The 22,077-nt window shown below is 47.6% G+C and overlaps 5 annotated features.

Annotated features, from left to right (window-relative positions):
* Positions 8,400–8,449: a silencer, noted in NCBI's record as "silent region_3955". NCBI's record gives its function as "represses an Ori minimal core promoter by ATAC-STARR-seq in GM12878 lymphoblastoid cells {active_cell/tissue: GM12878}" and the evidence as "EXISTENCE:reporter gene assay evidence [ECO:0000049][PMID:35858748]".
* Positions 8,460–8,549: a silencer, noted in NCBI's record as "silent region_3956". NCBI's record gives its function as "represses an Ori minimal core promoter by ATAC-STARR-seq in GM12878 lymphoblastoid cells {active_cell/tissue: GM12878}" and the evidence as "EXISTENCE:reporter gene assay evidence [ECO:0000049][PMID:35858748]".
* Positions 8,980–9,059: an enhancer, noted in NCBI's record as "active region_5605". NCBI's record gives its function as "activates an Ori minimal core promoter by ATAC-STARR-seq in GM12878 lymphoblastoid cells {active_cell/tissue: GM12878}" and the evidence as "EXISTENCE:reporter gene assay evidence [ECO:0000049][PMID:35858748]".
* Positions 10,922–11,111: an enhancer, noted in NCBI's record as "active region_5606". NCBI's record gives its function as "activates an Ori minimal core promoter by ATAC-STARR-seq in GM12878 lymphoblastoid cells {active_cell/tissue: GM12878}" and the evidence as "EXISTENCE:reporter gene assay evidence [ECO:0000049][PMID:35858748]".
* Positions 21,794–21,943: an enhancer, noted in NCBI's record as "active region_5607". NCBI's record gives its function as "activates an Ori minimal core promoter by ATAC-STARR-seq in GM12878 lymphoblastoid cells {active_cell/tissue: GM12878}" and the evidence as "EXISTENCE:reporter gene assay evidence [ECO:0000049][PMID:35858748]".

The following is a 22,077-nucleotide window of genomic DNA, read 5'->3' on the forward strand; positions in this document are numbered from 1 at the left end:
GCGGGAGGTTTTTATCCCCATCTTTTTTTTTTTTTTTTGAGATGGAGTCTTTGCTCTGTCACCCAGGCTGGAGTGCAGTGGCGCGATCTCAGCTCACTGCAAGCTCCGCCTCCCAGGTTCACACCATTCTCCTGCCTCAGCCTCCCAAGTAGCTGGGACTACAGGCGCCCGCCACCACGCCCGGCTAATTTTTTGTATTTTTAGTAGAGACGGGGTTTCACCGTGTTAGCCAGGATGGTCTCGATCTCCTGACCTTGTAATCCACCCGCCTTGGCCTCCCAAAGTGCTGGGATTACAGGCATGAACCACTGCGCCCGGCCTTTTTTAAAAAAAATTTCTAGAGGCAGGGTCTCGCTATATTGCCCAGACTGGACTCTAGCTCCTGGGCTTAAGCCATCCTTCCCCACTCAGCCTCCCAGGCAGTTTAGACTACAGGTACACCCATCATTTAAATGTTGCATAGAGGCTGAGTGCAGTGGCTCACACCTATAATCCCAGCACTTTGGGAGGCCAAGGCAGGCAGATTGCCTGAGGTCAGGAGTTCGAGACCAACCTAGCCAACATGGTGAAACCCCGTCTCTACTAAAAACACACACAAAAAATTACCCAGGCATGGTGGTGGGCACCTGTAATCCCAGCTACTCAGGAGGCTGAAGCAGGAGAATTACTTGAACCTGGGAGGCGGAGGTTGCAGTGAGCTGAGGTCACGCCACTGCACTCCATCCTGGGTAACAGAGTGAGACTCCGTCTCAAAAAAACCAAAAACAAAAAATTAGCCGGGCGTGGTGGCAGGTGCCTGTAATCCCAGCTACTCAGGAGGCTGAAGCAGGATAATTACTTGAACCCAGGAGGTGGAGGTTGCAGTGAGTCGAGATTGCACCATTGCACTCCAGCCTGGGCAACGAGAGTGAAACTCTGTCTCAGAAATAAAGAAAATAAAAACTAAACGTTGCACAGATCATACAGCAGAGTAATTAAAAATGCAGAGATCTGGCCGAGTTTGGTGGCTCACGCCTGTAATCCCAGCACTTTAGGAGGCCAAGATGGTGCCATTGCACTCCAGCCTGGGCAACGAGAGTGAAACTCCGTCTCAAAAAAAACAAAAATGCAGAGATCTCTTAAAACAAAGAACCAGTGAGAGAGTTTATATCCCAGCTCTGCCACCGACCACCAATATTAACAAATTATTTAACCTAAAACTCAATTTCTCTACTTGCAAAGTATGCCATTTAACAGAGCCAACCTGTTATAGCCTAGAGGTGAAATATACAATGGTTTGAGCCAGACTGGCTGGTTCAGATCCCAGTTCTGCTACTTATTGGCTGCATGACTTTGGGCAAGTTACTTAACCTCTTTTTGCCTCAATTTCATCACTTTTTTTTTTTTTTTTTTGAGATGGATACTCACTCTGTCGCTAGGCTGGATTGCAGTGGTGCAATCTCGGCTCACTGCAAGCTCCGCCTCCCAGGTTCACACCATTCTCCTGCCTCAGCCTCCCGAGTAGCTGGGACTACAGGCTTGCGCCACCATGCCCAGCTAATTTTTATATTTTTAGTAGAGATGGGGTTTCGTCATGTTGGCCAGGCTGGTCTTGAACTCCTGACCTCAGGCGATCTGCCCACCTTGGCCTCCCAAAGTGCTGGGACTACAGGTGTGAGCCGCCGTGCCTGGCCCATCACTAATTAAATGGTGACACTACAGTAATAACAATTTCCTCAGAAGATTATTGTGAGGATTAAATGAATTCATATAGTTCCCTAACCTCTGAACCTTGGGGTGCCCAGGGCCACAATCCTTAATCCCTTCTCTGCCTACACTCACTTCCTTGGCTTTAAATACCATTTAGGGTCAGGCACAGTGGCTCACACCTGTAATCCCAGCACTTTGGAAGGCCGAGGCAGGTGGATCATGAGGTCAGGAGTTCAAAACCAACCTGGCCAAGATGATGAAACCCCATCTCTACTAAAAATACAAAAATTAGCTGGGTGTGGTGGCGGATGCCTGTAATCTCAGCTACTCGGAGGCTGAGGCAGAGAATTGCTTGAATACGGGAGGTGGAGGTTGCAGTGAGCAGAGATTGCACCACTGCACTCCAGCCTGGGTGACAGAGCAAGACTCCATCTCAAAAATAAAATAAAATAAAATAAAATAAAATTAAACTTGCTTTAAAAAATACCATTTATATATCAGCCATTTCCAAATTTATATCTTGAGTTCATTCCTCTGCTCTGAACTCTTTATTGGAATATATCAGCCTGCCTGATGGACACGTCCACATGGATACAAAGTAGATATCTTTAGACTAACATTCCCAAAACTGAACTTTTGTTTCTTTTTTTTTGATACAAGGTCTCTGTCACCCAGGCTGGAGTGCAGTGTCGCAATCATGGCTCTCTGCAGCCTCTACTTCCAGACTCAAGTGATCCTCCCACCTCAGCCTCCCAAGTAGCTCGGACTACAGGTGCATAACACCACACCAGACTAATTTTTTACATTTTGTAGAGACGGGGGTCTTCCTATGTTCCCCAGGCTGGTCTTGAACTCCTGGGCTTAAGCAATCCTCCTGCCTCAGCCTCCCAAAGTGCTGGCATTACAGGTGTCAGCCACCATGCCCAGCCCAAAACTGAACTCTTGATCTCTGTCCCTATCCCTGGTGGTCTAGTGATCAGGAAAAAAATTAATTAAAATAAAAAGATCTCCACCCCTAAACCTGCTCTTTCCAAGGTCTTCCTTATCTCATTAACTATCTCAGTTAATGGCAACTCCCTCCTTTAGTTGCTCAGGCCAAAGTCCTCGGAGTCATCCATCCATCCATCCAAAGGCCTTGGCTTTACCTTCAAAAGATACTTAAAAGATACTTGGAATACCCTTTCTCAGCACTGCACCGTAACTGCACTGGTCCAAGTCACAATCGCCTCTTAGTTGGATTAATGAAACAGGTTCTTGGTTTCCCTGCTTCCAAGTATACTCTCCTATGGTCTCTACTCAACATAGCATCCAGAGTGAGCCTATTTATACAGAAGTTGCATTATGTTACTCCTGCCCCGAACCCTTCAATACTTCCCAATTTAGAGTAAAAGCCAAAGTCTCTGCCAGAGCCTATAAGGTCTTCCATACTCTGGCCTCAACTTCTCTGCTGTCATCTTTACACAACCCTTTGCTTACTTGCCTCCTTGCAAGTTCCCGCCCCTGAGAATCTTCATACTTGCTCATTGTTCTGCCTGGAACACTTTTACACCAAGATATCCTCATGGCTCATGTTCTTAACACCTTCAGGTCTTCACTTAAAAGTCCCCCTGGGCCAGGTGCAGTGGTTCATGCTTGTAATCCCAGCACTTTGGGAGGACGAGGTGGAAGGATCACTTGAACCCAAGGGTTCGAGACCAGCCTGGGCAACATGATGAAACCCTGTCTCTACAAAAAATACAAAAATTAACTGGGCATGCTGGTGCATGGCTGTAGTCTCAGCTACTCAGGAGTATGAGGTGGGAGGATCACTTGAGCCCGGTAAGTTGAGGCTGCAGCAAGCTGAGACTGTGCTGCTGCACTCCAGCCTGGGCAATGGAGTGAGACCCTGATCAAAAAAAACCCAAAAAGTCCCCTTGGAAATGTTAGGTCTTTCCTGACAGTTCCAGCCCTCTCTATCCTCTGTTTCTGGGTCACCTTTTTAAAAAAACACATGTGCCCCATCTATATACTATTTAACCAACGTATTCTTTCTTTCTTTATTTTTTTGGAGACAGGGTATCACTCTGTTGCCCAGGCTGGAGTGTAGTGGCGTGATTTTGGCTCACTGCAACCTCCACCTTTTGGGCTCAAGTCGTCCTCCCACCTCAGCCTCCTGAGTAGCTGGGACTACAGGTGCACGCCACCAAGCCTGGCTAATTTTTATAATTTTTTTTAGTGGCAGGGTCTTGCCGTGTTGTCCAGGCTGGTCTCGAATCCTGAACCCAAGTGATCTGCCCACCTCAGCCACCCAAAGTGCTGTGATTATAGGCATGAGCCATGGCGCCCAGCCAATCTAACTAATGTATTATTTAATTTACTTATTTATTTTGTTTATTGTCTGTCTTTCCCCACTAGAAAGTAAGCTCCATGAAGACTTGAAGATAGGAATCCTTTCTGTTTTTTTCACTGCTATGTCCTCAGAGCCTAGACCACAACCTGGCACATAGTAGGTTCTTCATAATAATTGTTCATTAAATATAATAAATACATGTTAACTCTAATTATTATCTTGACATTTTGGAAACAGTAAGAGGCAGAAATTTTAAACATTGACATTTCGTGCTGAAAACCTCCAAACAATATTTTTAAGAACATGCTAAATGAAAATGTAGCTCTGCCTACTCTGCCTATGAAGTAGCCATTCTTTTATTCCTTTACTTTCTTTTTTTTTTCAAGACAGAGTCTTGCTCTGTCACCCAGGCTGGATTGCAGTGCTGCAATCTTGGCTCACTGCAACCTCCACCTCCTGAGTTCAAGAGATTCTCCTGCCTCAGCCTCCAGAGTAGCTGAGATTACAGGTGCCTGCCACCACGCCTGGCTAATTTTTGTATTTTTGGTAGAGACAGGGTTTCACCATGTTGGCCAGGCTAGTCTCAAACTCCTGACCTCAAATGACCCACCAGCCTCAGCCTCCCAAAGTGCTGGAATTACAGGTGTGAGCCACCGCACTCAGCCTATTCCTTTACTTTCTTAATAAACTTCTTTCACTTTACTCTATGGACTTGCTCTAAATTATTTCTTGTGCGAGGTCCAAGAACCCTCTCTTGAGGTCTGGATTGGGACCCCTTTCCAGTAACGTCTTCCTGGCTAACCATGAGGGGATTATACTGGGGAGACCCCAACCCAAAGGAAATAGACTTCAGCACTAATTGGCTGACTTTGGAGTCAAGAAAACTTTTATTTTGAGCTATTGACAGCTTCTAACAATTGAGTAAACACCTGTGAACAAAATTTGGAGCATATTTGTTTTTCTTTCTGATTTTGTCAGAATTTGGACACTATTTGTGAGTATTCTTAACTTATGGCAATATGGTTATTTGCATAAGTGCAATAAGAACATTTTCTTTTGCAACAGGACACAATTGGAGAAACTGGTTATTTTACCAAGGCTTTGAATGGAATGATGCGCTTTCCTTTAAGGAATCAAACTTGACTTATAGAGGCAATAAAGCCCCTTGGGAAAACTGGCCATGTGCCTTGTCTGCACAGTCCTTATACAGGGTTTCTGACCTGTGGTAAATAAAGAATGTCACTTTCTGACAGGCCCAGGAGCCCCAAGTTATCTCGGGACCTCAAGAGGAAAGGAATTTATGCAACTCCTATAGGTGTTTGACAGTACAAACCCATGGCTAGGCTTGGCTTTTAAAAAGGTATTATCTGAGATTCTTTTTATGGAAGAAAGTTCCATCAAAGTCAATTATAAAAATCCTATGTGAAAAATAATTATTCTTGCTGCACTTTATACAAATGATCAGACTGAATATAATAAAGCAAATTGGTCTTACCGTGATTTTTCTTTAGTAAAAACGGGAGACTGGAGAAAAAAAAATATGTTTCAGTAACTGTGGTACACCTGTTACTAGATTCTAGTCTTATCAGTTGTTTTTGAGCTTGTTTTCTGCAATTTAGACTCACCTGCTTATTGCTGTGAACCAATCAGTGATCTCTGACTGCAGCTCAGATGAAACAAGAGGGATGAGTAATGTAAAAATCCGGATCAATATTCTAATTCTAGGCACATATTGGAATCAGCTAGCAACCCACATCCACTTGGTTTCCAACAATTGCCCAGTTCATGGAAAGCCCAGGCTGCAGGGCAATGGCACGATCTCGGCTTACCGCAACCTCCGTCTCCCAGGTTTAAGTGATTCTCCTCCCTCAACCTCCCAAGTAGCTGGGATAGCAGGCATGCGCCACCAGGCCCAGCTAATTTTGTATTTTTAGTAGAGACGGGGTTTCTCCATGTTGGTAGGGCTGGTCTCAAACTCCCGACCTCAGGTGATCCGCCCGCCTTGGCCTCCCAAAGTGCTGGGGTTACAGGTGTGAGCCACCACGCCCAGCTGGAAAGCCTTCTTATTTAGTTTACTTGGGATAATTTTGTAGGAGGATCACTTGAGCTCAGGAGTTCAAGGCTGCACTGAGCTATGATCATGCCACTGCACTCCAGCCTGGGTGACAGAGTGAGACCCTGTCTCAAAAAAAAAAAAAACTATATATCTACATATATATATATAATAAAGAAAAAAGATGATGGACAAAGTTATATTAGTTCCCATCACAACATTATGACTGATTTTCCCCACTATTTTCCAATTATATGTAATGTTGATTCTAAAATAAAATAAAATGTTAACTTACTGAAATATGAATAATATATCCTTCATATAAAAAGAAAGCAGGCTGGGCACAGTGGCTCACGCCTATAATCCTAGCACTTTGGGAGGCCAAGGTGGGTGGATCACTTGAGGTCAGGAGTTCAAGACTAGCCTGGCAAACATGGTGAAACCCCATCTCTACTTAAAAATACATAAAATTAGCTGGGCGTGGTGGCGTAAGCCTGTAATCCCAACTACTTGGGAGGCTGAGGCAGGAGAATTGCTTGAACCTGGTAGGCGGAGGTTGCAGTGAGCTGAGATCGTACCACTGCACTCCAGCCTGGGTGACAGAGAGAGATTCCATCTCAAAAAAAGAAAGAAAAAGAAAGCAAAACTGGCCAGGTGTGGTGGCTCATGCCTGTAATCCCAGCAGTTTGGGAGACCAAGGCAGGCAGATCATGAGGTCAAGAGATTGAGACCATCCTGGCCAACATGGTGAAACCCTGTCTTTACTAAAAAAAAAAAAAAAAAAAAAAAAAATTAGCTGGGCATGGTGACACGCATTTGTAGACCTACCTACTCTGGAGGCTGAGGAGGAGAATCCCTTAAACCTGGGAGGCAGAGGTCACAGTGAGCCGAGATCTCGCCACTGGACTCTAGCCTGGTGACAGAGCAAAACTTGTCTCAAAAAAAAAAAAAAAAAGAAAGAAAGCAAAACTATACATTTTCCTTTTTTTACAATTTTTTTTCATGCTTCACTCTGTCACAATCAGGGCTCACTGCAGTCTTGAACACCTGGGCTCAAGCAATTGTCCCACCTCAGCCTCACAAGTAGCTGGCTGGGACTACAGGTGTGCGTCACTATGCCCAGCTAATTTGTTTGTTTGGTTTCTTTTTTTAGTAGAGACCGGTCTTCCTATGTTGCCCAAGCTGGTCTCAAATTCCTGGGCTCAAGTAATCCTCCTGCCTTGTCTTGCTAAAGTGCTGGGATTATAGAAGTGAGCCACCACACCTGGCCAACTTTATCTTTTGTATAGTGCATAGAACAGTCCCCACCAAAGGGCTTCTACTGCAAAGTCATTTACAAAAACAATGGGTAAATATTATTTTTTAATTTAGGCCAGGCGAGGTGGTTCACACCTGTATTCCCAGCACTTTAGGAGGCCGAGGCGGGCCGATCACCTGAGATCGGGAGTTTGAGACCAGCCTGACCAACATGGAGAAACCCCATCTCTACTAAAAATACAAAATTAGTTGGGTGTAGTGGCACATGCCTGTAATCCCAGCTACTGGGGAGGCTGAGGCAGGAGAATCGCTTGAACTGGGGAGGCGGAGGCTGCAGTGAGCCGAGATCGTGCCATTGCACTCCAGCCTGGGCAACAAGAGCGAAACTCTATCTCAAAAAAAAAAATAATAATAACAATTATTAAATTTAAAAATATTTTAACTTAAAAATATTATGTAATTAGATTTTTTTTTAATGCTGGAAGAAGCTTTCATTAACAGTTACAAGCCAGGCACAGTGGCTCATGCCTGTAATCCCAGCACTTTGGGAGGCCGAGTCGGGTGGATCACTTGATGTCAGGAGTTTGAGACCAGCCTGACCAACATGGTGAAACCCTGTATCTACTAAAAATACAAAAAAATTAGCCAGGCATGGTGGCGGGCACCTGTAATCCCAGCTACCTGCGAGGCCGACGCAAAAGAATTGCTTGAACCGGGATGGCGCCACTGCACTCCAGCTTGGGCAACAGAGTGAGACTCTGTCTCAAAAAAAAAAAAAATTGGTTACAGATTACACCTTGTTTTCTTTAAAGCCTTTAAAGAAAGTGTAATCTGTAACTATTAATAAAAGCTTCCCAAACAACGAAACTGTTTACTTTCCCGCGCAGGCTCAGGTTGCCTCCAGCTAAACACAAATGTGGGGGCTGGAGAAAGGCCTGGAGAGCTCCCAGCGCCCTCTGAGACATGGCTCCAGGTCACACAGCCCAAAGCCTTGGCCTGTTTTGTACGTGGACGGGGCAAAGAGAACACCCTCGCCGCTTCTCTCTGCCTTTAGCAGGGCTGTAGGAAACCCCCACCAGAGACCTCCAGCTTGGAGAGGAAAGAGTGGAACAGCCCTCTGGAAGCAAGTTACCCACAGGTTTAGTTTGCCTGGAGAGAAACAGGCCGGAGAGAGACTGCGGCCTCCCTAGGGTCTTCTGACGGCAAATTCCTCCAGCTCAGTGGCTGCTGGGCAGCAGCACAGCCGGTTTCTCTCAAGGGCACACCCCACACACCGCGTCACTGTGCACTAGCCTCAGATGACAGACAAGCCTTTCACAAGACTTTTGTGGCACTGTTCATTTCTGAGACCTTCTCTATGATGAGCTCAAACTGCTTACCTCAGAGAAGAAACTGCGTGCACAGAAAGCTGCTGAGGCCAGCTTGGGGCCCCTTCTTTCCTGTCCCTGGGCACTTCCCTGGCTGCTCTCTTTCCCCACTGCCCAGCCCAAGGAGTCCCCTCTGCAGCTGACCCGGGTTCAGCCTCCAGAACAGCGAGTTCCACAGCCCTGAAGCCTGGCCATCGTCCCTTTTCTGGACACTGGACTGGTTCATAGGGCTCAGTGCCCTGCGGCTTTCTCCTCCCCACCACAGGCCTGGGAGGGGCAAGAAGCACCAGTTTGTTTTCTGGGTCAGCCTGCAGCAAAGAGCGACTGCCCTCACCGACAAGCTGAGCCTCTCTCCCAGCAGCACCCCCACAGTAGCCAGCAGGGGACCCTGGAGGATCGTGGAGCTGGATCACCACCCAGAAGACATGAATTCCTCTTGTCCAGAGGCAGAACAACAGCAACAGCAGCCACTTATGCTCCTGTAGTTTCCAGAGCACCTTGCTTAATCGGAAGTAGGATGTTACACTCCAGAGACTACTGATTTACATATCACACATGTGCTCATCCATCCATTCACCAAACCTCTGTTGACTGCTCGCGCTGCCCTGCGTTCCTGGCACTGTGCAGGGTTATAATCTAGTAGGAAAGACCTGACAAGGTCACAGATGTCAGTACTGAAAGGAAGAGTAGGGTAGATGGCCACCCCACCCCCACCCCAACCTCAAAAAAGAGACTAAAAAATTACTGTCACTTGTGTAATTCATCAACAAACTTTACTGAGCACCTAATAGGCACTGAGTGTTTTCGTGTATTGATCACGCATTGATCCTCACAATAACCTTTGAGATGGGTTGTGCCATTTACACAGGGCGAAGAAGAGAGACTGGCCACTGTCACACAGCTACTGATATCCAAGCTGAGATCCAAAGCTCCTCTGCTTCTCCTGATGAGAATGAGCACCACAGGCAGGCCACAGAAAAACACCCAGGAGAGCCAAACTCAGACCCACCCCAGATTTCCCACCCCACCCTCCACTGGCTCCAACCTCACTCCCTCTTCATTCATTCAGCCAGTCTGTCAAACACAGTTATTGTACTCCTGTGGGGTGCAAAGCTCTTGAGGAAAGGGGAGGAAGGAAGAATCATAAATGGCTTTGTCACCCAAAGGCTGTGATATGGGCTTAGTGCGGAAATTAGAGTATCACTTATCAGCGTTGGGGCTGCCAGGGTTCAAAAAATACAGGTTAAGGGTGCCCGATCTCACCTTTGCGTTGTGGGTGGCCGGGGCGCAACGGTTTAACCTTGAATTTAGCAGGAGTCTCTTTGTACGAGAAAAGGGGCACCTGAGAATGGGCCCTTGAGGAGTAATTTAGGCTTTTCGGTCAATCCAGAGGAATATTATGGGAAAGGGCCGCGCCCGAATTCCCAGGAACTGGAGAAATCTTTAAGCAGAGGGGGTGGAGGGCACCAAAAAGAGGGAACGCTACTGGGGTTCAACTGGCTGGAGGACAGTGCACCCCCAATGGGGGAACCAAGAAATAAATTTGGGAAAAAACAGTAGACAATCTATAAAATTTTTTTTTTTTTTTTTTGAGACGGAGTCTCGCTCTGTCACCCAGGCTGGAGTGCAGTGGCGCGATCTCGGCTCACTGCAATCTCTGCCTCCTGGGTTCAAGCAATTCTCCTGCCTCAGCCTCCTGAGTAGCTGGGACTACAGGCATGCACCACCATGCCTGGCTAATTATTGTATTTTTAGTAGAGACGGGGGTTTCACCATGTTGGCCAGGCTGGTCTCGATCTCTTGACCTCGTGATCCGCCCACCTCGGCCTCCCAAAGTGCTGGGATTACAAGCATGAGCCACCGCGCCCGGCTGACATTCTATAAATATTTATATCTGGGAAACAAAAGCGGGGAATTGGGGCCAGGTTACAGAGGACATAAACTGTGGCACCAGGGTTGGCACTTGCTTCTCTGTTCACAAGAGCCGTTGGCGGGATTTCCCATTGTCCCCCTTGGGTAGGTAAGGCCAGGTGGCTGCTCCATCTCTGCCACCTCCAGCGCCGGTCCCACTGTGTCAGCAGCCCTGTCCCCTACTGCTGTGTCATCAATTACTCTCAGGTGCCTGGCCCCCACCCAGTGGCCCCCACCTTGCAGCCCCGAAGGCTTCCTTCCTGGGGCAGCAGGGCCGAGTCATTTGGAAACCTCTCTCGGAGGAGCTCCGTGATCAAGGTGCAGATGCGGCAGGTGGGCCGGCCTCAATCATGTCTCCAATTGCGACGGTGAATGCGGTGAGGAGTTTCGTTGGCCCATCACCTCTGCCTTGGGCCTGGCTCACTTTCACTGCTGAGTTAGTTCCACGGCCGCCTTTGATGATGCCGCTTCAGCATCTTTTTTCTTCGGCGTTTCCTGCTCCTTTGTTTTCAAGGTCACTCTGTCCTGCCTGCCCCACTCTGGGCCACCCAAGGCCAAGCCTCTAAGCTCCGCGTTGCTGACCACAGTTCTTCACACTAGCCTCACTGCGAGGCTCCGTCCAGACTGAACATGGGGAAGATGAACCTTTCACCATTTGATGTCTTGAGCTTCTCCTCTAGAACAAGCAGGCTAGCTGCCCTGCTCAGGGCCGGCTCATCTCTTTCTCCCTGGAGGACAGAGCTCTGGGCCCTGAGTCAGAACTAGCTGGGGTTCCTCACTAACTGGGTAGACTTATATGATGCATGAGACCTATAGACTCTTACTTAGTTTTCTCAGAAATAACATAGGCCAAGAACGCCTGCTTGCCTGTCTCCACAGGCTGGGATGAGGCCCTTATGAGACCAAGAATGGGAGAGGGCTTCATAAACTGTAAATTAATCTGGGAGCATTACAGTCATGGTTATTAGTTTACAGAGATTGAGTTCACGTTGTTATTTGCTCTCTTAGCACCCTGTTCTTTTTCTTCATAGCACTTTCACATTTTCTAATGATATTATAAGTTATTATTATTACTAAGCACGTAGTTTATGGGTCTAATGCCTCCCTCCTCACCAGGGTATAAGCTACCGCAGAGTGGAAGCCATGCTTCATTTTGTTTCTCATCACTCTGCCAGCACCTGGTTCAGAGCCTGTAATGTTGTGGGGGTTTAAGGAATACTAACGATAAACTGGTGAGTTATTTGAGGACCCACGACCATCCTCGCAAGAGACTTTTGTTAGGCCAGTCTGTCTTGTCCACTGCTGAAGCCTGGCATTTGGTAAGCCATTCATACCTGTTTTTTGGAAGTTGAGATGAATACACCTTAGCCGGGTGTGGTGTCTCACACCTGTTATCCCAGCACTTTGGGAGGCCGAGGACGATGGATCACCTGAGGTCAGGAGTTCGAGACTAGCCTGGCCAACATGGTGAAACCCCATCTCCACTAAAAAAAAATACAAAAATTAGCCAGGCATGTTAGCCCACCTGTAGTCCCAGCTACTCGGGAGACTGAGGCAGGGGAATCGCTTGAACCCAGGAGGCAGAGGTTACAGTGAGCCAAGATCTTGCCACTGCACTCTAACCTGGGTGAGGAGAGCGAGACTCCATCAAAAAAAAAAAAGAGAAAGAAAGAAAGGAAGAGAAAGAAAGAAAGAGAAAGAAAGAAAAGAAAGAAAGAGAAAGGAAAAGAAAGAAAGAAAAGGAAAGAAAGAAGAAAGAAAGAAAGAAAAAAGAAAAGAAAAGAAAGGAATGAAAACACCTTAAACACCACCAGCTTCATCGTGAAGTTCTGTTGCTGAAGTCCCTGCCATGTGTCTCAGTTGCCCCCTCTGCCATCCAAATGCCCAGACAGGCTCTCTGGGCCTCTCAGTATCCACCCTCATTGCCTTCTCCCACATCTTCCTCTGCTCCAGTCCAGACAAACTGCTCACCATCCCTTCCCCAAGATGTGCATTTACCGCCTGCGGACCTCCTTCCCTCAAAGTCCTGCCTGAAGTTCCTTCCTTTTTGACCTCCCTTTAAAAAGCATGAGTGGGCCTGACGCAGAGGTGCATGCCTGACATCCCCGTGCTTTAGGAGGCTGAGGAAGGAAGTTTAAGGCCAGGAGTTCGAGACCAGCCTGGGCAACATAGCAAGACCTTATCTCTACAAAAAAAAATTAAAAATTAGCCTGGCATGGTACACACTTATAGTCCCAGCTGCTCAGGAGGCTGAGGTGGAAGGATCACTTGAGTTCAGGAGTTTGAGACTACAGTGAGCGACAATTATGCCACTGCACTCCAGCCTGTGTGACAGAGCAAGACCTTGTCTCTAAAAAAAAAAAAAAAGCATGAGTGTGTGTGTGTGTGTGTGTGTGTGTGTGTGTGTATGAGAGAGAGAGATAGCACTTTGGACCTATGGAGGATTTCTATTTGGAAAGAAAAAGGCTTTTACATACAAGATATTATTTAATAGCAAAATTGGCCATGCAGGTATTTTACAATTGTACATATTAGGAAACTAATGCTCAGAGAAGTTATATTTGTAATTTTCAAACTGGGGATTGTGACTTATGTGTGGACCCATGAAAGCAGTGTGATTCATTGACCGCTATTAAAAATAGAAAGAGGGTCGGGCATGGTGGCTCACGTCTATAATCTCAACACTTTGTGAGGCCAAGGTGGGAGGATGGCTTAAGCCCAGGAGTTCCAGACCAGCCTAAGCAACATAACAAGACCCCATCTCTACAGTAAATTTAAAAGTTAGTTTGGTGTGGTGATGCACACCTGTAGTCCCAGCTACTCAGGAGGCTAAGGTGGGAGGATCACTTAAGCCTGGGAGGTGGAGGCTGCAGTGAGCCATGATTGTGCCACTGCACTGCAGCCTGGGTGACATAGAGAGACCCCATCTCTACAAAAAAGGGAAGAAAGAAAGAGTGAGAGAAAGAAAGAGGGAACGAAAGGAAGGAGGAAAGGAGGGAAGGAGGAAGAGTAGAAAATATGAGTATGCTACCCATACTAAGCAGTGTTTACAAAACTTACTGTGTATTTGTGTGTATATGTTCATCACACATGTCCAACTAGCTTGTGATATAAAATATATTTCTTCCTATGGGTCATGATCAAAGTGACAGGATTACATGACATGCTGAAAGCTAACTAGTAGAGCTCATGCATTACTTATTAGAGTAGAGCTGAGACCGACCAGAGAGATAGAGGTGCAACCTGTCAGAGCCCGGGAGGCACCACAGAAATCTCAACGGTGCCAGGGTGGGGCCCAGGGAGGCCGGTGTTCTGGGAAAACCAACTGTTGTGTGCTGGTTGTATGAAGTGCTGTGTTGTTGTGGGTTGTGTGCTGGTTGTATGAGGTGCTGTGTTCTTCCTGTTGTGTGTTGTGTGCTGGTTGTATGAAGTGCTGTGTTGTTGTGGGTTGTGTGCCGGTTGTATGAGGTGCTGTGTTCTTCCTGTTGTGTGTTGTGTGCTGGTTGTATGAGGTGCTGTGTTGTTGTTGTAGGTTGTGTGCCGGTTGTATGAGGTGCTGTGTCGTTGCTGTGGGTTGTGTGCTGGTTGTATGAGGTGCTGTGTTCTTCCTGTTGTGGGTTGTGTGCTGGTTGTATGAGGTGCTGTGTCGTTGTTTTGGGTTGTGTGCTGGTTGTATGAGGTGCTGTGTTGTTGCTGTGGGTTGTGTGCTGGTTGTATGAGGTGCTGTGTCATTGTTGTTGATTGTGTGTTGGTTGTATGAGGTGCTGTGTTGCTCTGGAGAGACGTCAACTATGGCACCCTTTGTGTGGAGGGACTGAAGGCCCTGCTGGGTGGTTGGGAGCTCCAGGTTGGAAAACAAGCTGTGTGGGGACGAGTTTACCAATTGGTATATGGCTGTGTACCAGTCCTACGTGGCCTAGAGCGGTGGTTCTAGGAGTGTAGTTCTCAGGCCAGCAGCATAGCGTCACCTGGACACTCTTAGAAATGCACATTATCAGGTCCCACCCCAGACCTCCCGAATCAGACACTCTCGTGGTGGGGCCTGGCAACCTGGAGGTAACAAGCCCTCCTGGTGACTCTGAGGCATAAAGTGTGAGGAGCACTCCCCTGGGGATGCCTGTTTGGCATTCTGTGTTTGGCGTGTCTTTGCGCAAGCAGGCAGGGTCTGGTCTCAGAGCGGCCTTGCTGGGAAGCAGACATGCTGGGCCTCCAGTGCAGCGTTTCTTCTGTCACCCACTCAGCCTTACAGCCTACCCAGCGCATGCGCCCACAGCACTTAGGTGCGAAGGAATGCTGCACGTTTCCCCCATTCCCTGTGCCTTCCACACTGCTGACTCCACCCACACTACCTTAGCAACACGGTAGAGTTTTGCATATTCTTTGAAAATGTGCCCAGTTGCATGTGAATATGAGCATGCCAACTTGCATGATGTGTCTGTTTTGCCTTCTCTGTTAGACAAGGTGCTCCTCCATCAGAATCTCGCCTCTGGCTGCCGCAGTACTCAGTATACAAACACCTGATCCAAGCACCAGACTCACTCTAACCCTGGCCACACAACCTGCCCCAGGCCGACGTTCCCAAGCTCATTTGTGGCCCCCATGACCTTGTGGTAACCTTGATGTGCCTACCCAGCACCTGCAGCCCATTTCCTCCCTGCAGGACTCTACCTGTTTCCTAACGAGAGGGGAGCTGTGCGTGGGTGCAGGCTGCCGGCAATGACAGCCTTTACCACCCCACTTCCTGTGTTGACTTGTAATGGGGTGTTGGGTCCCTGCTGTCTGAGTGAGCTGTGAACATTCATGCTACTTCCCATTACTGTCTGAAGCTTGGTTTCCACATCTGCAGTGTGGTAATAAAAATACCCAACACTTTGCCGGACGCGGTGGCTCATGCCTGTGATCCCAGCACTTTGGGAGACCAAGGCAGGTGGATCACCTGAGGTCAGGAGATCGAGACCATCCTGGCCAACATGGTGAAACCCCGTCTCTACTAAAAATACAAAAAATTAGCTGGGCGTGGCGGCACGTGCCTATAATCCCAGCTACTCGGGAGGCTGAGGCAGGAGAATTGCTTGAACCAGGGAGTCGGAGGTTGCAGTGAGCCGAGATGGTGCCACCACATTCCAGCCTGGCGACAGAGCGAGACTCCGTCTCAAAAACAAAACAAAACAAAAAACCCAACACTCAAAGACTGTTCAGGGAATGAAAAGAAATGATGTGTGAAAAACCTATCATAGTTCATGGCACATAGAAAGTACCTGATGAGGAGCCTGTGCAGGATTTAGCCATAGTTTTCCCCTTAGCCAGCCAGGTAAGTGCCTGTCCTTTGCAAAATGGCGCCTCTGAGAGACGGGCCGTGTGGTCTTGTGGAGGGAGCCCTGGATTTGGTGCCTACAGGGCTGACTTCAGGCTCTGACTCTGCAACGAACCCTCCCTGCAATCACGAGCAAGAAAATGAGACTCTGTTTCCTTGTCCTCACAAAATACGGCCAGGAGTGATGCCAATCCCTCCGGCACAAGCCGCTTCAAGGACTACATATAATTAAATGTGAAGATTAAGTGAAATATAAAGATTAAGTAACATTAAATTTAAACTTTCATGGGACTGTGTAGACCGGTGACTGCTATGCAAGTCTATGGCGAGTTTCCTTCAGTGCTGAGAGGTATACCCTACTCTTCCTGAGGCTGATGAGGTAGGGACCTGGGAGCTCTGTTCTCAGCTGTTGGGAAAGACCCAGAGAAAGAAGAGAACAAAGTCTCTGGCCATGTCAGAGAGGGAGAGAGTCCTAGGTTAATAGAAGGGGAAACCCCAGCCCGTTCCCTGTAGCAGCACCCCAAAACTGTGTGGAACAGCTTACTTTTTCTGTGGAATATAGAAAATGAACTCCAAGACAAGTGATTGTATCTAATCTCTGGAACAAATAGAAATTTAATGTAATCCATGGACTGTAAAGTATAATTACTGAGAAAAATACACCTGAGCTGATGTAAGCGGCCACCCTTGCCTAAACCAGACACAAACCCAGTCTTGGCGGAAGTATCAGTAGTCTTTCTGTCTTTTTTTTTTTTTTTTTTTTTCTGAGATAGGATCTTGCTTTGTCATCCAGCCTGGAGTGCAGTGGTGCAATCTCAGCTCACTACAACCTCGACCTCCTGGGCCCAAGCAATCCTCTCACCTCAACCTCCTGAGTAGCTGGAAGCACTAGTGTGCACCACCAGCTAATATTTTTATTTTTTGTAGAGATGGGGTATCCTATGTTGCCCAGGCTGGTCTCGAACTCCTGGGCTCAAGTGATCCTCCCCCCTTGACCTCCCAAAATGCTGGGATTACAGAGGCGAGCTACCATGTTCAGCCTCCAGTGGTCATTTTGACGAGAAGGCTAGAAAACAATTTAGCCTCAATTAGACTGCCTATGGGGTGGGGATTGGGATCCTGCATAGGTGAAATATAAACAAGTTGCACACTGAAATAAAACCTGAGCTGCCTGACCTGGAAGGGTCCTCTGCCATCCGATTGTCACACACAGATGGAACCTCTGACATCTCCTCTTCAAAGGCAAAGGATCGCAGCTTAAGCGTTGCCCTCTCTATCCTAGGGAGCTAGTCTGACTTTATGTGTGTGAAGATTGTAAGATCATGGTTTCTAGTAGAGGCAGTAACTCTCTGAGCCTTCTCAAAACAATATTAGAACTCACGGTTGCTGGGCATGGTGGCTCATGCCTGTAATCCCAGCACTTTGGGAGTCTGAGGCAGGCGGATCGGTTGAGCCTAGGAGTTCAAGGCCAGCCTGGGCAACATGGTGAAACTCTGTCTTGACAAAAAACATAAAATTAGCCAGGTGAGGTGGCATGTGCCTGTAGTCCCAGCAACTCGGGAGGCTGAGGCAGGAAGATGGCTTGAGCTCAGGAGGTCAAGGCTGCAGTGAGCCATGATCGTACCACTGCCCTCCAGCCTGGGTGATGAAATGAGATCCTGTCTCAAAAAAAAAAAAAAAGAAAAAGAAAAAGCCTCAAGGTCAGAAGGTATTTACCACTGGGGGCAAACTGAGTTGACTATCAAAGGTCAGAGGCTAACACAAGTAGACCCTGGGAAGCTGTAGTGTGTTCACCATCTGGAGAGAAGAATGGGATCTCTGAATAGGCCCAAAAAGTCAAAGACTTCAGGTGACAGTCACAGATGTGTCTAATGTGTGACGCCTGAGTCAGCCATAGAGAAGCTGGTAGGCTACCTCTCTGCTGCCCAAACCATCATAGCTGAAACTACTGGCCAGAGCCTGCTGCTATAGCACCTGGGAAGCAGTCTTAAGCCTCCCCCAAAACTCTTTTTCTAGGCCTACAGCACATGTGGAAAATATAGAGAACTGTGGAAAGAGTAGGAGAGGAGAAGGCCATAAGAGCAGCTCCTACCTTGTCCAGTACATGCTCCAACCACTTCCTTGCTCCTCCCCCTGCCCTATCTCATCATCATTATTGCCATAGCCACACCACCATACACAGAAGGCCCATGATGTGCCAGGCACAAGGTAATTCTTTTTTTTTTTTTTTTTTTGAGACGGAGTCTTACTCTGTCACCAGGCTGGAGTGCAGTGGTGCCATCTCGGCTCACTACAACCTCCGCCTCCCAGGTTCAAGTGATTCTTCTGCCTCAGCCTCCTGAGTAGCTGGGACTACAGGTGCCCACCACCACACCCAGCTAATTTTTGTATTTTTAGTAGAGACGGCGTTTCACCATGTTGGCCAGGATGGTCTCAATCCCTTGACCTCGTGATCTGCCCACCTCAGCCTCCCAAAGTGCCGGGATTACAGGTGTGAGCCACTGCACCCGGCCATGCCCGGGTAGTTCTGTCGCCCGCACTGGAGTGTGGTGGCGCAATCTCTGCTCACTGCAAGCTCCGCCTCCCGGGTTCACGCCATTCTCCTGCCTCAACCTCCCAAGTAGCTGGGACTACAGGCACCCACCACCACGCCTGGCTAATTTTTTGTATATTTAGTAGAGACGGGGTTTCACCATGTTAGCCAGGATGGTCTTGAACTCCTGACCTCGTGATCCACCCACCTCAGCCTCCCAAAGTGCTGGGATTACAGGCGTGAGCCACTGCGCCCGGCCAGATAATTCTTTCTACACATTTTTTCCAAGCAGTTCTCATCATGTCCCACACTGTCCACCCTGTCCCCCTCTCCAGGCACACCAAGCCTTCACTCTCTCCAAGCCTCCAGTGGCCAAGACTTCCATGAAGTCTTTCCTGACCTTTGGGTATAGTAAGTCTCTAATGGCATGAAGCAGGGTTCTGGTTTTGGCTTCATCCTGTCAATATTTGCCATCAGGACTTGGATAGACCCAAGGATGACTAATCTATGTTGTTATCACATCACCAGATGACAGAATTGGGATCAGAAAAATTTCCCTTTATAGGTTGCAACAATGGCCCAGAACCTTCAAAATGAAATCCTTTAGGCATGTTATTAAGAGGAGTAGGACCCTGCAGGAAAGTCCAATTGTATTGTAGTTACATAGTTATAGAAGTATGGAATCTTTTTTTTTTTTTTTTTTGAGTGTCACCAAGGCTAGAGGGCAGTGGTGTGATCATGGCTCATTGCAGCCTCAACCTCCTGGGCTCAAGCGATCCGCCTATCTCAGCCTCCTGAGTAGCTGGGACTACAGGTGTGTGCCACCATGCCCAGCTAATTTTTGAATTTTTTGTAGAGACGAGGTTTCACCATGTTGCCCAGGCTAGTCTCAAATTCCTGGGCTCAAAGGATTCTCCCATCTTGACCTCCCAAAGTGCTGGGATTACAGGCATGAGCAACCACGCCCTGCCAAGTATAGAGTCTTGAACAAGGAAATGCATATCGTCCTATATTTTTTCCTAGTCAGATAATATCTAGACCATTAACCAGAAATCACCCAGAGGTCAAAAAACAGGGCGTCAAAGGACCCAGAAACCAAGTCTGCAAATAACGACTGAAGACACTGTGGAAGTGTGTTTGGGAGACAACAAGACTCTCAGGATGTGCTGGCTGTCTTCAGAGGATGCTTATTGGAAGAGGAGTCAGACAGTCCAGACAGAAGGCACAGCCAGGACCTCTGGAGAGGAGTTACAGGAAGACATATTTTGACTCATCATAAGGAATAAGTTTCTAATCATGAAACCATCCTCCACTGAAACATGATCTATTGAAAGGAGCAAATGTCTCACCTTCATTGATGTTCGTATTCATTGATTCTGGGTGATCATCTGATAAGGATGCAGTGACGAGAATCTTGCATTTGCTGGGGGTGGGGGTGTGGTTGAGGATAGTCTGGTTTATATTCCAAAGTTCCTTTCAATTCCTCTATGATTCTATACGCTGTACTCCTTCCTGATCAATGTCCCTAGCCAGGGTGGCCAAGGCTAAGTCAAGTATGCTAAGGGATTGGAGGGGCAGGGATATTGAGAATAGGGTGAATGGAAGGATGAGGAGTTCCCAGCAAGCTTGGGACACAGGAAACCTTGGGGCAGCTTCCTCCTGGAGGTTTCAGGACTGTACGTGCTGGAGAAGAAGTGTGATGCCTTGTCCTGAAAGCCGTCTTCTTTGAAAGCAGCTTCTAAAGGCAGTGAATGGAGAAGAGCGAGGAAACGACCCCAATACCACCAACAGAGGCTGGAAACTCCTCAGGCTGTTTAATCCTAAGAATGATGCATCTGTTGGCCGGGCACGGTGGTTCACATCTGTAATCCTAGCACTTTGGGAGGCTGAGGCAGGCGGATCACCTTAGGTCAGGAATTCAAGACCAGACTGACCAACATGGAGAAACCCCATTTCTACTAAAAATACAAAATTAGCCGGGCGTGGTAGCGCATGCCTGTAATCCCAGCTACTCGGGAGGCTGAAGCAGGAGAATTGCTTGAATCCGGGAGGTGGAGTTTGTGGTGAGCTGAGATCTCGCCATTGCACTCCAGCCTGGGCAACGAGAGCAAAATTCTGTCTCAAAATAAATAAATAAAAATACAAAATTAGCCGGGCGTGGTGGTGCATGCCTGTAATCCCAGATGCTCGGGAGGCTGAGGCAGGAGAATCGCTTGAACCTGGGAGGTGGAGGTTGTGGTGAGCCAAGATCATGCCATTGCACTCCAGCCTGGGCAAGAAGTGCAAAACTCTGTCTCAAAAAAAAAAAAAAAAAAAAAAAAAAAGAATGATGCATCTGTTGGGGATGCAGTGGGGTAAGCATCTTCAGTAAGCAAGGTGTGAAGAGGGGAAAGAGGGAAGGTGAATATGGAGGAGAGGGTGAAGGAGGGCACTGGAAAGGGTAGTAGGATCCCAGCAAAGGGCGATTTGGCTGAAAGGGAGCGTGATAACAAGGGTGGGGGTGGGGCCAAGAAGCAGCCACCATGTGTGGGTGCCTCTGTGCGTGCAGTCATCTTTCTCACATCATTGTGGATCAAGAGAGGAAATGCCCACTTCTGGAAGAAAAAGCCACAAAATGAGACTTGGAAGGGAAATTGATCAACATCTACAAAACGGCTTCTTAAAGGAAGCGGCCCTCAGACAGGACAGAGTTGAGGGAAAGGACAGAGGTTATGAGTGCCTGCAAGAGTGGCAGCCTGGAGTAGAGAAAACACTAAAGGTGGAGTCAAAAGACCTGAGTTCAAGTCCCAGCTCTGCCACTGGTTAGCTGTGGGATCTCGGGTAAGTTGCTCTCCCTCTCGGCCTCACGGACCTCCTGAATAAAAATTGAGGGTTAGACTGGATGATCTCTGAAGCCATCTCTAGCTTGGTAGTTTATGAGGTTAATAATTTATGAGCAAACAAAGTTAATTTATAGATAGAACATCATTATTTTTGAGTCAGAAAATGACTCTGTAACTATGTGCTTTTCTTGGTGATTTCACTTTTTTTTTTTCTTTTAGAGACATGGTCTTGCTATGTTGCCCAGGCTGGTATCCAACTCCTGGCCTCAAGCCATCCTCCTGCCTCGGCCTTCCAAAGTTGATTTCATTTTTGTCTTCCAGTATTGTTTTACTGTTGTTCCCTTTGAAAAATTCTAACCTATCTTTTCTGAACTTGAGCTGAGAAGGGAAGGGGTTTTGCCTCTGTTGGGCAAAAGGATGGTGGCAAGTAGTGTGACCAAGTGCCCTAACTTGCCAGGACTTAGGGGTTTCCCAAGTCAAGGGACTTTTCAGTCCTTGGCAGACTGGAATGGTTGATCACCCTAGTGGTGAGGAAAATGAAGGTTTGGAGGTGGCTTGGAGGAGAGGTTGCTGGGAGAGCTCTTCTCCTGTTCTCTGTTGATCAGGAGTTTCCCTCATCAACCTGCTGACTTTGCGTGGTGGTTTCATTACAAGTTGTGAGCCCCTTATTGGGGGTATAGGGAGGAGAAGTGAGGGCAGCCTTTAAACTAGTCATAGGCCCCAGTTGAGACAATTATTGCCGGGAAAGAAGCTGAAATGCTTGACTAGCACTGATGCTGTGGGGGATTTTCCCTCTTTCTTC

Source organism: Homo sapiens, chromosome 11 (genome assembly GCF_000001405.40).
Source record: "Homo sapiens chromosome 11, GRCh38.p14 Primary Assembly".
In the NCBI taxonomy this organism is placed as follows: domain Eukaryota; kingdom Metazoa; phylum Chordata; class Mammalia; order Primates; family Hominidae; genus Homo; species Homo sapiens.